The 17,131-nt window shown below is 35.8% G+C and overlaps 1 protein-coding gene and 1 pseudogene across 47 annotated transcripts in view; both read left to right on the plus strand.

Annotated features, from left to right (window-relative positions):
- Positions 1–17,131, plus strand: part of RIMS2 (regulating synaptic membrane exocytosis 2) — a 755,485-nt gene that overhangs the window by 255,671 nt on the left and 482,683 nt on the right. For all 47 annotated transcript variants that reach the window (NR_145710.2, XM_017014015.3, XM_017014010.3 and 44 more), the window contains one exon: positions 9,947–10,257. Coding sequence is in view for 46 of the 47 variants with exons in the window: in XM_017014015.3 (XP_016869504.1) it covers positions 9,947–10,257 (311 nt within the window). In the remaining variant the exon portion in view is untranslated. The remainder of the gene's footprint in view (positions 1–9,946; positions 10,258–17,131) is intronic.
- On the plus strand, positions 11,960–12,783 carry RPS6P9 (ribosomal protein S6 pseudogene 9; annotated as a pseudogene).

Genomic DNA, 17,131 nt, shown 5'->3' on the forward strand with positions numbered 1-17,131 from the left:
CACCCATCTTCTGCCTTGATCCCACTGGGAGCTGCAGACCGGAGCCGTTCCTAGTCGGCCATCTTGGAATGGATCCTTGGGAGAGTTTTTTGTTGTTGTTGTTGTTTTTGTTTTTTTTTTTTTGCAGGACTCTTGTATATTATTTTCTTTTCTTTCTTTTTTTTTTTCTTTCTTAAGACAGGTGTCACTTTGTCACCCAGGCTGGAGTGCAGTGGCACATCTTGGCTCACTGCAGCCTTGACCTGCTGGGCTCAACTGATCCTCCTGTCTCAGCCCTATGGTGGGGTGGGCCACGCCACTATGTCCAGCTAATTGTTTAATTTTTTGTAGAGATGGGGTTTTGCCATGTTGCCCAGGCTGGTCTCGAACTCCTGAGTGCAAGCAGTCTGCCCACTCAGCCTTCCAAAGTGCTAGGACTATAGGCATAGCCATTGTGCCCAGCCTGTTATTTTTCTTTATGACAGACATCTTTAAAAATTTTATTTAATGTTTTGTAATTGGTTATAGGTGGTGTATAGAAATGCTGTTTATTTTGCTTAATCATGATTTGATCCAGGAAACTTACTGAGCTCCCTTACTACTCAATATTTTGGCTGTAGATTTTTGGATTTTCTGTCATAATCAAATGGCATTGCCAATCAAATAGTGTTCAAATAAGGACAGTTTTATTTCATCCTTTCTCGTATGTGTGTGTGTGTCTGTGTGTGTGTGTGTGTGTGTGTGTGTGTGTGAGAGAGAGAGAGAGAGAGAGAGAGAGATACAGAGAGAGATATTCAGGAGAGATTTACTTGGCTAGCATCTCCAATACAGTGTAGAACAGAGGTGGTGATACCGGGAATCCTTAGATCATTTCCTACTTTAAAAGGAATGCTCTTACCTTTGATTCTTAAATATAAAATAGGATATAGAGGTTTTGTAGATATCCTTTATTAGGTTAAAGCATTGCTAATTTTTATAATATTTAGTTTGCTGCATTTTATATTGTTTTCACACAAACGAATCTTGCATTTTATGAATGCTGAATGGTTTTTCTGTATGTATTGATAATGCCATTTTATTTCTATTTTAATTAATTAATTTGGTGAATTTGATTAATTTGATGAATTTAACTATTCTTGCATCTTTGGTTTAATCTCCCCTTTGTCATGGTAGGTTCGTCTTTATTCATTTCTTTCTCATATATATTTGCTGTATAAAATTAAGGATTTGGTTCACATTTTTAAAACGTATGCATTCATTTCCACTTGTGCTATTGGGCTATAATTTTACTTTAATTTTGTCTATGGTAGGCAGAAAAATGGCCCCTCTAAAGATAACCATGTCTTAATTCCTGAAACCTATGAATGTTATCTTATATGGCCCCCAACTCTTCTCTTTCCTCAAACAACATGCAGGTGTGATACAGTAAAGATCTTGAGATAGGGAGATTATGCAGGTTGGCCCTAAATGCAATCCCTTGTATCATCAGTGCATATGTATCTGTGCACAAACACAGAAGAGAAGGCGATGTGAAGATTTAACAGAGAGAGTTCGAAGATGCTGTTTTTGAATATTGGATTGATGTGGCCACAAGCCAAGGAATGATGATACTCACCAGAAGCTGATTGCCAGAGGAGACAAGGAACTGGTTTTCCCTAGAGCCTTCTGAAGGATCATGGCCCTGTTGACATCTTGATTTTGGTCAGGTGATATTGAAATTGGACTTCTTGTCCCAGAGCTGTGAGGGAATACATTTCTTGTTGTTTTAAGCCACCAGTTTGGGGTAATTTGTAATTTGAGTCATGGAAGTTTCCATTTTTCCCCCTTCTGTAATATTTTTGAATAAGTTTTAGATAGCTATCTAGAGTTAGATAGACTTTAGATAGCTATCTAGGACCTCCTGTCTTTCTCTTCTTCTCTTTCTTCCTTCCTCTTTCCTCTGAACTTACTTCTTCCTTATTAATAATTTCATGATTGCCTTCATGCAGTCTCTGGGATCTCCAGTTCAGAACCAGATATTCATTAATGAGCTGTGGTCTTGCCTCAATCTTGGTATTGAGTGATATTGCAAATTAATATATTAGTGATATTTTACATTAGTGATCTTATAAATTCATATATACAAACCAAGTCTGTGGAGGCTTTGTTCAGTGTCAAAGTTACAAGTGTGTCCCACTTGCCCAAGCCTACAGCTTCTAGGAAGCTGTAGGTTGAGAAGATTTCCACAGCATTTTTTTCAGCTTTTTTTTATTAATGAAGACGTGAACATGAATTTCAGTTTGTCATTTCACATGCAGCACTTCTAGTTCTGTTAAACCATAAGACCTGTGCTCTTATTCACTGGTACCTGCTGTTTGGCTGGGGACATAGTAGACCTGAGGCTTTAGCTCTGCTAATTTCCTTTCATTTCTTTTTTACTTTTATTTATTCATTTATAAGTTAAAATTCTGGGTGTAGAAACAACAGTCTTTCTATTGAAAGACATGTCTGCTTTTAGCAGAAGAAAGGTTAAAAGTTTAGATTTATATCATGGCATAAAACAACTTACTTACAAATTACAAATAAGTAGAGAAAAATAGAGTTTGGGAAAAGTAATAGAGAGGGTTAAAAGTTTAAATTTAGGCAAAGTGGTAAAACTCACTATAATTTTAATTGGATGAAATCGATGAAATGGGAAGACTGAAGCTCATTACTTCAAGCTGAGGGTATTTGGGGAAAGTGTTAGGTATACAGAAAAGAACAGTCAAGGAAAAGCTTGTTTCTTCTATTCTTCTACATTGTAGGGGAGGAGAAAGAAGACAGGTGAGGCCAGTAGATGATTAGAGGTATGTTCCAGTCTCTTCTTTCCAGGCTTTGACTCAGGACGAGGATGCATTTTTGTTAAATTGAAGGGCATCTTTTACTCTTATTATTATTTGAGATCCATGGAAGGGAATCACCCTTCGGGATGCCCTAGCATCCATCAGGGGCATAGATACTTCAGAATGAACTTGGCAGCGGATCATGATTAAGAAAGGCCAAGAAGGACAGGTGTGGTGGCTCACGCCTGTAATCCCAGCACTTTGGGAGGCCGAGGCAGGCGGATCACGAGGTCAGGAGATCGAGACCATCCTGGCTAACACGGTGAAACCCTTTCTCTACTAAAAATACAAAAAATTAGCTGGGCGTGGCGGTGGGCGCCTGTAGTCCCAGCTACTCGGGAGGCTGAGGCAGGAGAATGGCGTGAACCTGGGAGGCGGAGCTTGCAGTGAGCAGAGATTGTGCCACTGCACTCCAGCCTGGGCGACAGAGCGAGACTCCGTCTCAAAAAAAAAAAAAAAAAAAAAAAAGAAAAGAAAAAAGAAAGGCCAAGAAAAGGCCAGACTTGACTTCCAGAACTGTCCTTTGTTCTAGTGTGGCATGAGCATAACTACATGTCCCAGACATGACACCTATCTATAGTGAGGGATGAGATGACTTTGCAGAAGAAGCTGCAGAATAGACAGCTTTTGCCATAGTGGAATAGAGGGTCATTCAGGGACTAAGTGTTTGGCAGTGCTGGTGGGAACCGAAGTGAGATCAGGTTTATTGAGAAGTGCAAGTCTGTCTAAGTTGAGAAGAATCAGACTATCGATTGGATGAGCTGCAGGTTGTGTAGCAGCATAAGCCTCACAGAACACCTGAATACTTTCTTGGAGAACAGCCAAAAAAGGAGCAGAAATATCAGAAATAGAGAACTTGTCCAAAGGAGCTATTATTTATTGGACTACAATTTACTGAGTAGCTTTAAAGAAGAATCTGGCAAGTGTGCTGTTGACAAAAATCAGATCAAAAATAGAGAAATAAATACGCTACCTTTCTTTGTGAGTAAATTTTTCAAAGCCACAGCGATAGCCAACATAGAAGGATTTGTAACAGCTAAGACTGGGAAATGCTTAAGGTTAAAGCTCTCAGGAGGATGTGCTGTTGCCTCCCAAGAGATTTAATGAAGACCCATCAGACATTCCTGCTTCAGCCTGTAAGTGTGACTATTGCTAGAAATGCTGTGATTACAATTCATGGTAAATCTGGAAGTTCTGCTGCTTGTATCAGGGGCATCAGATGAAGAAAATTTCTGATTTTTGTTTTGTAATCCAGAATCTTAGTATTTACAGATGACAGTATCTCTTAATTGCCTAAGGAATCCTATTAGAAAATGTTAACCTTCTGGGATATGAGCCAATGTGTCTACTTTCAAAATCCACCATGGCAGTGCTGGGTGAGGGCTTGTAGTTTAGTAGCGCAAGCTACCCTTGAATTCTGCCTTTTTAGAGACACAGACACCATGGATCTGATCATGGGAATGCTTTAGGGTAATGCTCTGGTTGAGCCTCTGGATTTCCAGACCTATTGTAGATCTCTGCATTCTTGTTTTTTTTCCAAACACAATGTGGGCCAGAGGGAAAGATCTATGGTGGGACTGCATTCCTTTTGTAACATTTACCGTAATTATAACAATATTTGTGCAATTATTTGTTTGCTTATTGTCTCCCTAGTACACTTTATACTCTGTAGCAAAATGTATATTTGTTGAGCTTTATTCACCAGCTGTTAGCATAGCATTTGGCATATAGTAGCCATTTAGTAAATATTGTATAAGTAAATAAATAATGAATTGGTGTTAATAGTTACTTGCCCATCTATAAATAAATTGGAATTCTATGATTTCAATTAATTTTTATGGCAAATTATAGCTTCATCTAAGTTTATCTACTAAACTAAATGTAATATTATTCTTTTAGTAGAATGTAGTGAATATATTATAGTCACTGGTGTGTTCATACGTGCTAACAACCAGCTCTCTTTTAGAAAAATCTCTGACTTTTGGCATTTTCCAATTTATTTAGTCTAAATACATCCACCACAGCTGATTTCAAGCTAACCCACATTACTTCATGGAATGTGGAGTTAGGGAGAAAGCACACAATTTGTTTTCATGAGTTAGTGAACAACACCGAAGCTCTTTCATATTCATGCCCTGGTAATGGATTGTTCTTCACATACAAGATTGTGCTAGTAATACACATTGAATAAGCATGTACTTTAAAAAGACTGTGAATTAGTCAAGGTAATGCAATCAATTATAGAAGGTAAACTCAAAAAATCTTTAAAGCTCAACTTAGTAGAAGTTTAGTTTTCACCTATGTGAAGTCCACACTGGTAAGCTGATCAGCTGAGTGCTCTCCTCCTAGTGATTATTCAGGTTCCCAGGCACCTTTTTTTCCTGTGGCTTCCTTATCTCCAAGGTCTTGGCTGAACAGCATGAAGATAGCACATGAGAATTTTTAAAAGTTTATGAAAGTGGCACACCCATTCCACTTATAATCCATTGGTAGAATATAATTGTATGGTCATAGCTGCCCAAGATAACATGGAAAATGTAGTTTTCTAAGAGGAAAGGAAATAAGTTGTTGAATAGCTAGCCAGAATCTTTCACAATTTTCTATTTATGTAATGGTTACTTGATCAATTTATACTCTTTTACCTTATTTCTTCTCTGACAAATGCACACATATTTATAAGCAGGTTGGCAATGGTTAGAGGTAGAGTCTAGTGAATTCCTTTTTCTGTGCAGTTAGCTGGATCATAGGAGCTTGGCCTATGGTCTCGTTAGTGTAAGTCTTTAAACTATAATCCCTCCCTTTTTTGAATTACTCTATTTTTTTGTCCCTGTTTAGAAGAAAATCATAGTATTTTGCAGACCTTTAGATTGCTCTCAATTATTGTATATACCTAATGTAAATTTTTTTTTTTTTTTGCTTTCTTTTAGTATTCACTGCAGCTGTTATGGTTATTATTTTTGTGGTTTAAAAAAGATATTTGTATTTTCCTTAGTTTTTTTCCCTTCCTTTCCTAACATTCCTAAGAATGTTTATGGAATAAAACATATGGAAGTAAGTGACAAATTTGGGTCATTAGAGATTATTCCATCTCTTAATATTTCTATATTATTTTTAAAATTTTGACATATTTAGGACTGAAGGTAATAATAATTTATAATTTTGAACCCTGTATGTTTTGTATTCTCAGGTTCTAGATGTTTTTGGTAATTATGAGAATCAGTTAATAGTCTCTAACCAGGGAGATTTATAGGCATATATATTTCTAACATATTTTAGATGGCATTCCTTATGTGGTTAACTTAATTGGTTAAAGCGTTCTATTAGCAAAAGGCCTGTGACTTTATTGCCAAATTAGATAAATTTTGTTCCATGGACACAGAATTTATCTCTAATAGCTATTAATCATTTCATAGTCAATTAATGAAAAATCATTTCACAACATATATGTATTTGTGAGAGGTATTGGTGTGTGTGAGAGGTAATTCAATACCGTCGCCAATTTATAAGCTAAGCTGCTTTCTGTGTAAAGGGCTACAAGTGAAAGTATCAGTTTTTCTGTACTACAATTGTGTTGCTAATGATGGAGATACAGCCCAAGAAGTGCATCATTAGGCAATTTTGTCATGCTAACATCATGGAGTGTACTTAAACAAATCTAGATGGTATAGCCTTCTACACACCTAGGCTAGATGATATAGTCTGTTGCTCCTAGGCTACAAACCTGTACAACATGTTACTGTATTAAATATTGTAGGCAGTAGTAACATAATTAAAAGTGTTTATGTATCTGAACATATTTAAATATAGAAAAGGCATGGTAAAAATACGGTATTATAATATTAGGGAACCACCCTTCTATATATGGTCTTTTGTTGACTGAACTATTGTTATGCAGCACATGGCAGTACTTGATGTGGGTAGATCCGGAATTCCTGAGCTTAAAGGATTAATAAACTATTAATCCAAGAGTAGGAGGAGATGGTAGAAGAAGAAAAGAAAGGTAACCAGGGTGTCAATATATGAATAGGAAAATACTAGGAGGCATGGTGGCTCACATCTGTAATCCTAGCACTTTGGAAGGCTGAAGTGGGCAGATTGCTTGAACTCAGGCATTCAAGACCAGCCTGGGCAACATAGTGAAACCCCATCTCTACAAAAATACAAAAATTAGCTGGCGTGGTGGCACATGCCCATACTCCCAGCTACTTGAGGGACTGAGGCAGGAGATTCATTTTAACTTGGGAGGTTGAGGCTACAGTGAACTGATATTGTGCCGCTGAACTCCAGCCTAGGTGACAAGGTAAGACCCTGTTTCAAGGAAAAAAAAAAAGAAGAAGGAAGAAAGGAAGGGAGGGAGGAAGGAAATAAGGAAGGGAGAAAGCGAGGAATATAGGATAAGGGAAGGAGGGATACGGAATAAGGGAGGGAAGAAGGGAGGAAAGGAAGGATATAGGAGCTAGTGATTTAGGAAGGAACAAATGATCTAGTCAGAAAAGGAACAAGCAGTGTGCATAGCCCAGGCAATGTGAGAAGGATATTAACACATGGAGAGTCTTTAATGGGAATCAGACATCATCCTTCATACCTTATGCTCATCTGTCTTATATTAATATTCACTAGATATTAACAGATGAGGAAAATTAAGCTGATAGTGTTTCCAATTCTTTTTCTCATTTTGGGCTCCACAGAAACAATACTACTTGTACAGTCAGCAGTTCACACTAAGGTAAACTGACAAGGCTGTGTATGAACTCCTTTGGTCTTAGCCAGTCTGAGGAGCATACTTGTAACCCATTTAACATATTGAACTACGAATCTCTGCCATAGACCGGTGGTTCTCAAATGTTAGCAAACATCAGAATTACCTGGAGGGTTTGGGGAAAAAATATTGCTGGGCACTGCCCCAGAGTTTCCTATTCAGTAAGTCTGGGGTGGGACCTGGGAATCGGCACTTCTGGTGATACTGATGCTATTCTCCCAGGGATATTCTTTGAGAAGCTCTGCTCTGAAATACATTAAGTAACCTGCTTACCTTGTGAAAAATTTTATTTTTCAACTGTTACAAAGCAGCAAATGCTGTTTCTGCAGATGATAGTGATTGGATAATTGTCTGTCTCACAAGCTCTCGTTTGTTGTTAATTACCAGGCACAAAGGGATGCTCTTCTTCAGTACTCTGAGTGTGACCTAATTCAGATAAATTCATATCTTATAATCATCTAGAATAGATTATCACTGAAGCATAAATAACAACTTGTTTAAAACAGAAAAGTTGACATTCAAACTTCATTTATTTTTACATTATTTTGTGGTTCTGTTTTGCGTGACTTTTTAAAAGAGATCTGTAGTACCTGCGTTTGTCACAAGATGGCATCAAAAGGCTGAGATGCTGGCTCAAATTTCATTTTTTGAGACTGTTGATGGGTTAGATATATTTCATGTCTATTAAAACTAATTATAGCAAAAGAAATTTGAACTGAGGCATGTTCTTTTTAATTTCAGTGAGATAATGGTGTTTTCACATCAAAATACTTATAAAAATAAAATACATACATATATTGATATTATTTATGACTAATTCTTTAGGAAATTAATGAACATACATCTTGGCTTAATAATATCAAATATATTATTACCATATTTCCCCCAGAAGAATTTTAAACAACCTAAACTTAGCAAACATTTATTATATCTTACTATTCTATAATTTATAAGGTTTTATTATGCTAGTAGAAGATGTAGTTCCTGCCTTCAATAAACTTCAAATTTAATTGGGGAGAAAAGAAATGTATATACAATTCAATGAAAGAACAAAATAATAAAAATGAGCAAGTACAATGTTGTGTGATAAGATCTGTACAAACTATGAAATGGAATAATGGACAATAAGGTAAAAAATCTACATGGTATTTTACAAAAACATTTTTGTGTCAGTTGAAAATGCCATGTTGAAACTTTTACTGTGATTATACTGTTGTAATTTATTTTATGTGAGAAAATGTTTAGCAACCTGGAGAGCTGTGTAAGAGTAAGTATTTGACATAAACAAAACATTAGCACTCACACACTTGAATTATGAACGGTTATTTTATGATAATATGGCTTTTTAAATGATTAATTGAAAAGGATTTTTCAGAAAAGGGTGAAGGGCTTTCTGGCCACAGAGATATTAATTACAATATGTTTAGATTTCTGGAGTCTGAAAAATATATCTGTAGAAAAATTGAGTATAGAATAGTTGTGCCGGGGTTGGAGGAGAGGAAAAGGGCTGTTGCTGTTTAGTGGGTGTAGAGTTTCAATCTTGCAGGAAAAATTTTAAAGATCTGTTTCACAATGTGAATATACTTACTGCTACTGAGGTGTACAATTAAAAATGGTTAAAATGGCAAATTTTATGTTGTGTCTTTTGCCACAGTAAAAACATCAGATGCATTAGTATAAATTATTAGCAATTAATTGGTTTTTTATAGAGGATCAACAAAGCTTGTAGCTTTATTTTAGCCATTAGGTGCTACTTGAAAAAAATAAAAGCCCCCTTAAGAATATAATTGCGGTTAGAATGTTAACCTAATACTAACAGCTAATTTTCCGTATAACAAGTAATATTCTAGATATTTTAAATAAATTATTTCTAATATTCAGCCTCAAATTACAGGGAAATTATCATCTTTATTTCCCTATTTTATCATTAAGGAAACTAAGTTTTATAGATATGAAGTTTCAGTTCCTTGTTGAAAGTTGCAAAGTTTCTAATTTTGGAGTTGGTATTTAAACCCAACTGTCTAGTTTCAAAATCTATTTTCTGTGTATTACACAATGCCTCTAATTTAAATAAAACTAATTAAATAATACAAATGAACAATCAGCAATTTAGGACTCTAGTTTGCTATCTCTGTGGTCAATAAATATTGACTATTTCATTAGAATTATTCAGAAAAATTAAAAGAAAGTATATATTATTTAATTTACAGTAGCAGTGAATTAGGATTATGTTTTAACTTCAGAAGGATAACCACGTAATTTTTTGTTTGCTTGAATTTTTGTCTCTTTTTATTTGTTTTTAACTTTTGGGAACACTAATTTTTTCCCCCTATGTCTTCATGTGCAGGTTATGTGGGTATGTAATTTGTGCCGAAAACAACAAGAAATCCTCACTAAATCAGGAGCATGGTTTTATAATAGTGGATCTAATACACCACAGCAACCTGATCAAAAGGTTCTTCGAGGGCTAAGAAATGAGGAGGCACCTCAGGAGAAGAAACCAAAACTACATGAGCAGACCCAGTTCCAAGGACCCTCAGGTGACTTATCTGTACCTGCAGTGGAGAAAAGTCGATCTCATGGGCTCACAAGACAGCATTCTATTAAAAATGGGTCAGGCGTGAAGCATCACATTGCCAGTGACATAGCTTCAGACAGGTAAACATTTTGTTTAATCTTTAGGCAAATGTATTACTTTTAGTCTTCATTCCAAACAGAGATAACAATACATGAAATGTTTAGGCAATGGTGAGTTGTCTAAGTAATGTAAACATTCATATGTTTTACATAAATACTATATGTGATGTTCAGGACTTGACCTATCATAGGTTTGAACTATCTTAGATTTGATGTGGGAGTGTTAGGTTATCAGATAGATTTCCCAGCATAAAGAAGTGAAATAAAACAGGGAACTTAGAAGTTTTTGTCAAAGGAAAGACAGACTAGCATTGGACTAATGGGAATGAAGAAGAGATGGCTATAGACTCTTTATAGAGGTTGGATTGATGGGACTAGTTGGAAGTGGGAGTTAAGGTAATAGGGAAGGTTAACAATATCTCCAAAGGTTCTATCTTGGGCTGAAGGATGATGTGGGTTTTCAAGCAAGTATATGCAGATCCGACATCAGGTTTATAGTGAAGGATTTCATGAGTTTGATATATCCATGTGCTAACTCTGTTGTAACTATTTTGGCTCCGTACTATGGGCTTCTTCGTGTTCAAAGTGTGATACTTAAAATAGTACATAGGGCTCTTATATTTACTACCTTTGGAAGGAGAATAAAGGATTTTGATGGGAAGATTCTTTTTCTTTCTTTTTTTTTTTTTTGAGATGGAGTCTCGCTCTGTCATCAGGCTGGAGTGCAGTGGCACGATCTCGGCTCACTGCAATCCCTGCTTCCCAGGTTCAAGCGATTCCCCTGCCTCAGCCTCCCGAGTAGCTGGGACTACAAGTGTGCACCACCATGCTTGGCTAATTTTTAGTACTTTAGTAGAGGCGGGGTTTCACCACGTTGGCTAGTATGGTCTCAATCTCATGACCCGTGATCTGCCCACCTCGGCCTCCCAAAGTGCTGGGATTACAGGTGTGAGCCACCGTGCCCGGCCTATTTTTCTATACCTTATTTTTCTGTTTGAATAAAGATAAATTTAAATCTGGTTTATACTATTTCTGTTGCCCAGAAGTAGCAGATACATTTCTGTGTTGAATAAGTACAAAGTCATGCATTCCTGCAGAAACAAATCTAAATTGTACATATAGTATGGTAGGTTCTTGGGTATCAGTTCTAACAAGTAAGACCACTGGGAGTCATTTTAGATGGTGCCTAAAGTCACCACTCCAATACATTGCTGGATCTTGAGAGAAAAAGAAAACAATGACTGCACCAGTTCTTTTGCAAAGTAGTAAAAGGGAACAGTACATGTAATCCTATCTTTGGGGAAAACAATCATCTTAATCTTGTGGGGACTTCCTCTGGGAGACTGGGTAGAAAGACCTCAGAGTTATCCTATATAGAGGACAAGGAAGTTGGAGTATTTAATTTATCAACTCTCCTTTATTGTTGGTCCAGGGCTGATCCTGGGAATTGTTAACTCTCTGAAACTCACTGGCTAGAGAAAGCACTCAGGCAGAGTGTAACAAACACTTACAGTCAGCAGATTTTGCTATGTAGGGAATGGTGAATGATGAGGCAATGTGGTTGGGTTGCTGGTAGTATCTGCTACACAGTGACTTCAGAGATCAAGAAAGTTCCCCAAATGGCAGTTATAATGGTCAAGGTATATGAAAAAAATAGATAACCAGTGGAGATAGAATTTTTAAAAAATGAGTGAATGAATGACTAAGTAAAATGAATAATGGGCTCTTTTTCGTGGTGCCTTGGAGGCATTCACCTGCTTCAAGATGAAGCTGGACATCTCTTTCCCAGCCACTGGCTGCCAGAAACTCATTGAAGTGGATGATAAACGCAAACTCTGCACTTTTTATGAGAAGCATATGGCCACAGAAGTTGCTGCTGATGCTCTGGTTGAAGAATGGAAGGGTTATGTGGTCCTAATCAGTGGTGGGAATGACAAACAATGGTTCCCCATGAAGAGGGGTGTCTTGATTCATGGCCGTGTCCGCCTGCTAATGAGTAAGGGGCATTCCTGTTACAGACCAAGGAGAACTGGAGAAAGAAAGAGAAAATCAGTTCGTGGTTGCATTGTGGATGCCAATCGGAGTGCTCTAACTTGGTTATTGTAAAAAAAGGAGATAAAAATATTCCAGGATTGACTGATACTACGATGCCTCATCACCTGGGGCCCAAAAGAGCTAGCAGAATCCACAAACTTTTCAATCTCTCTAAAGAAGATGATGTCCACCAGTATGTTGTAAGAAAGCCTTTAAACAAAGAAGGTAAGAAACCTAGGACCAAAGCACCCAAAATTCAGCGTCTTATTACTCCATGTGTCCTGCAGCACAAATGGTGCCATATTGCTCTGGAGAAGCAGCATACTAAGAAAAATTAGGAAGAGGCTGCAGAATATGCTTAACTTTTGGCCAAGAGAATGAAGGAGGCTAAACAGAAGCGTCAGGAACAAATTGCTAAGAAATGCAGGCTTTCCTGTCTGCAAGCTTCTACTTCTAAGTCTGAATCCAGTCAGAAATAAGATTTTTTGAATAACAAATCGATAAGATCAGACTAAAAAAAAAAGGATAATAGGAATATAGACTCCATTTGTTTAAAAATTAACCACATGAGATAGCTTTTTGTGGAGCTTAGAGAGGCAGGGTTAGTAAGAATAAAATGAAATACTAAAGCACTAGGTCACATAATAGAATATTAAGTTTTGGAATGCATTTCATCAGGAAGTTACGTGTGTTAAAAATAAATTCAATAAATTTATGAGTAATTAATTCATCATAGACAAGGTAAAGCCTATCTGTAATCTTTGTTTTTTGTTTGTTTGTTTGTTTTTGTTTTGAGACAGAAGTCTCTTTTTGCTCAGACTGGAGTGCAGTGCCATGATCTCAGCTCACTGCAACCTCCGCCTCCCGAGTTCAAGCGATTCTCCTGCCTCAGCCTCCCAAGTAGATGGGATTACAGGCACCCACCACCATGCCTGGCTAATTTTTTTGTATTTTTAGTAGAGACAGGGTCTCACCATGTTGGCCAGGCTGGTCTCATATTCCTGAACTGAGATGATCCACCCACCTCGGCCTCCCAAAGTGTTGGGATTACAGGCGTGAGCCACCGTGCCCGGTTGCCTATCTGTAATCTTTGAAGAAGGTGGTAATGAGAACAAATAAAAATCTTATATTCTTTAATGCCTCTTTCACTCACAAGTACTGGCCTGAATAAACAATTGAAATTGACCTATTGTGGGGAGCCAACAGGTTGTAGTTCCTTTTATTCTTTTCTCTTTTGCCTGGTGCTTTGGCTACTATTACTAATAAATTCGTGCTTAATGACTAAAAGCATACTGTATATCTTCTTTCCAAACCTTACAAATGCCCAACCAATAGCTCCTTTTGTTCACAAAAATTACTTTTAGTCAGGAAAGAAGTTAGAGTTTAATATCAGATTTGGTAGTTATGCCAAGAAAATGGAACTCATTGTAATTTACATACACTTTTTTTTGGGAAACACTTTAAAGAGTATTTCTTTTATTTTAAAATGCAGATTATACAGTAGTTAATTAGACATTTATCTATAGCCAGTATTGAGTCCTTTGAATTTCTTCCCTTACAGCAAGGGGTCAGCAAACTATGAACCTGGGCCAAATTTGACTTGCCACTTGGTTTTTGTAAACAAAGTTCTTTTGGAACACAGCCACTCCTGTTCATTTATTTATTGTCTATGGCTGCTGTCAGCTACAATTCCGTAGTTGAGTTGTTGTGAAAGACCATATGGGTCTCAAAACTGCAAATATAGTCCGGGTGCAATGGCTTATGCCTGTAATCCCAGCACTTTGGGAGGCCGAGGAGGGCGGATCACCTGAGGTCAGGAGTTCAAGACCAGCATGGCCAACTTGGTGAAACCCCGTCTTTACTAAAAATACAAAAATTAGCTGGGTGTGATGGTGCATGCCTATAATCCCAGCTACTTGGGAGGCTGAGGTAGCAGAATCGCTTGAACCTGGAAGCTGGAGGTTGCAGTGAGCCAAGATCGTGCCATTGCATTCCAGCCTGGGCAACAAGAGCGAAACTCTGTCTCAAAAAAAAACCCTGCAAATATTTGCTCTCTGATCTTTTCAGAAAAAGTTTGCCAATCCCTGCCCTAGAGAGCAGTTCTCTTAGTGTTGTTGAAATTTCTCCCTTTGCCCATTTTCTTTTGTCACCATTTAAATTTTTTTAATTAAACCTATTTTTTTTTTGTTCCTTCGTCTCCCACCCTGCCTGCCAGCTTCTATCCTTCTCTTTCTGTCTCTCTTTCTTCTTTCTTATCAGAATGGGTTTTATTGCAGTATTTGAATTGGACAGGGAAATGGAGGTAATGCTAGAAATATAATTTCAGTTTGAAGCATTAGTAATTTGTTTTTTCAATACCATTCAGAAACCAGTGGCTTCAGAAAGAGAAGCTTCAGTTCAACTTAATTTAAATCTCTATGGACTTATAACTATATTTGAAACAGAAAAGTATGTTACTCTTTTAAGGAGCTTTAATCTATAACATGATGTAGTAGTTTTGACCTTTTTAAATGACTTGTTATTTCTCTCACAGGTTTTGGTACAGTGTTTTACAGATAGGCCATTAGTATTTATTGAATGAATGAATATCAAGTTGGCTCTAAACCTTAGCGTTGAGTAGGTGAATACTTACTTAACATATAGTCATAAATTGCAATTCTTTATCAACTTAGATGCAAAATACTTTTGAGTTTCAAGTATGTTTTTATTTCAAAATAACTTGTGAAATACATTGTAAAACTGGATTTTTTTCTGGTTAAGAAAATAAAATTAGTGAAAACTAAAGTAAAACTGTTTAAAAACATTTAATTGATATTTCTTACATTTGAAATTATTTAAGTTGGATGCTTCATAATTTTCATAGTTGCAAATTAGTGAAATGTAGGAAAGTTTATTTGCAAAATTTTACTATTTAATTTGTAGCAGTTTCTACAACATTTAGAGAAGTTAAAAAGTAAGAAATATGGATAGTTTGTATGGTAGATGAGAAAGAACTAGAAGTCAGAAGACCTAGGCCCTGTTCTCACCTTTTCCCCATAGTGTCATCATTTCTAGATGTTTATTTTTTTCTCTGTATGTCCTGTTTTCTCATCTCTGGAATGGGAAAAGACAGTCTAAATCCTGAGAAGACTTCCAGTTCTAAAATTCTTTATTGTGTTGTATTTTAAGCTCCTCGGCCATGAGATAAACTTGAAGGCATTCTCTTTCACTATTTTTTTCCTCCCATAACTGGTAGTTGTATGACAAATTAATGCAGGATTATCTCCATTCATATTATAATTCATTGTTATAATTCATTCATTCAACAGATATTTATTGAATTTCAGTGTAGTATTTGTTTCTACATTTTTCTGCTTAAATGATGACGCTTAATGAAAATACCAAGGGTAATAAAAATATAAAACAATTATCTTGGATCTAAACTGTAAAGTTTTAAGGTAGGTTCAATATGATGAATATTTAGCAGTTTGGTAATCACCATTTCCTTATTATCTAGTACTTATGACTTTCCAAATATCTCTGTGACATTGATTATTTAAAAATAAAAATAATATTCAAAATATGTGCTTAATACTTCTGCTTCTAGTACAAATGGAATAATAGTGCCTGGATTTACTATTATGCAATAGGCACAATAAAATAAAAGCCATCTAGATTGAAAAGAAAGAACTAACACTTTATTCACAGAGAACATGATTATTTATATAGAACATTAATGGGATCTATAAAATTGTTACTAGAGTAAGGCTGTAGAATATAGTCAATGTCTGATAACCATTTATCTTTCTAAATAGTAGCAAGGAAAAACTTATAAATGGAAATTTAAAAAAACTTTAAGACCATTAAAAATACAAAATACATTTATACTAGCACCAAAAAATGAAGTACTTAGTTATAAATCTAACAAAATATGTACAAGGTCCATATGTTGAAAACACTGAAGCACTGATGAAAGAAATAAAAGAAAGTCTGAATAAATAGAAAGATAAACTGTGTACAGGGATCATACAACTCAATATTGTTAAGATGTCTTTCTCCCCAATTTGATTTATATATACAGATAGATTCTAAAATTAAAATAGAAATGTTTGAAATAACCAAAACAGCTTTTAGGAAGAACGTAGTTAGAGGCATAACACTACCTGATTTCAACACATTATAAGTCTACAGTAATCAAAACATTGTGGCATTGGCATAAAGACAAATAGATCAGTGAAACAGAATGGAGAGTCTATATATAAAGCCATTCATGTATAGACAAGTAATTTTTGACAGAGAGGCAAAGGCAATTCAGTAGAGAAAGGATAGTGTTTTCAACAAATGGTGCTGGAATAACTGAATATCCATATGCAAAAAAATTTGAAGCATACTTTTTTTACTGTATAAAATTAACTGAAAGTGGATCATAGAGATAAATGTAAAAGCTAAAATTATAAAACTTCTGGAAGAAAATATTGGAGAATATTATTTGATCTTGGTTTAGGCTAAAACTGTAAAGCTTGTAGGAGGAACTAGAGGATAACTTCTTCCAAATTTTAGGGTAATCAATAATTTCTTAGACAAGACACAGAAAGCACTAATTCTATAAAATGAAAAAAAAAATCCACAACAAATTAGACTTCATCAAAATAAAAACTTTATTCATTGAGACACCATTAAGACACTGTATAACCATGTTGTATTTCAAGAAATTTCAAGAGAAAATATTTGCTTATTGCTTAAAATGCATATTGCTTAAAAAGATATATAAAGCACTCTTAAAATTCATTAACTTAAAATAAGCCTAAAGTATAAGAAATTGGAATAAGCTGTTTATAAAAAAATATGAATTGCTAGTAAGTACAAGAAATGTCCTATGTGT

The sequence above is a fragment of the Homo sapiens genome, chromosome 8 (assembly GCF_000001405.40).
Source record: "Homo sapiens chromosome 8, GRCh38.p14 Primary Assembly".
Classification (NCBI taxonomy): domain Eukaryota; kingdom Metazoa; phylum Chordata; class Mammalia; order Primates; family Hominidae; genus Homo; species Homo sapiens.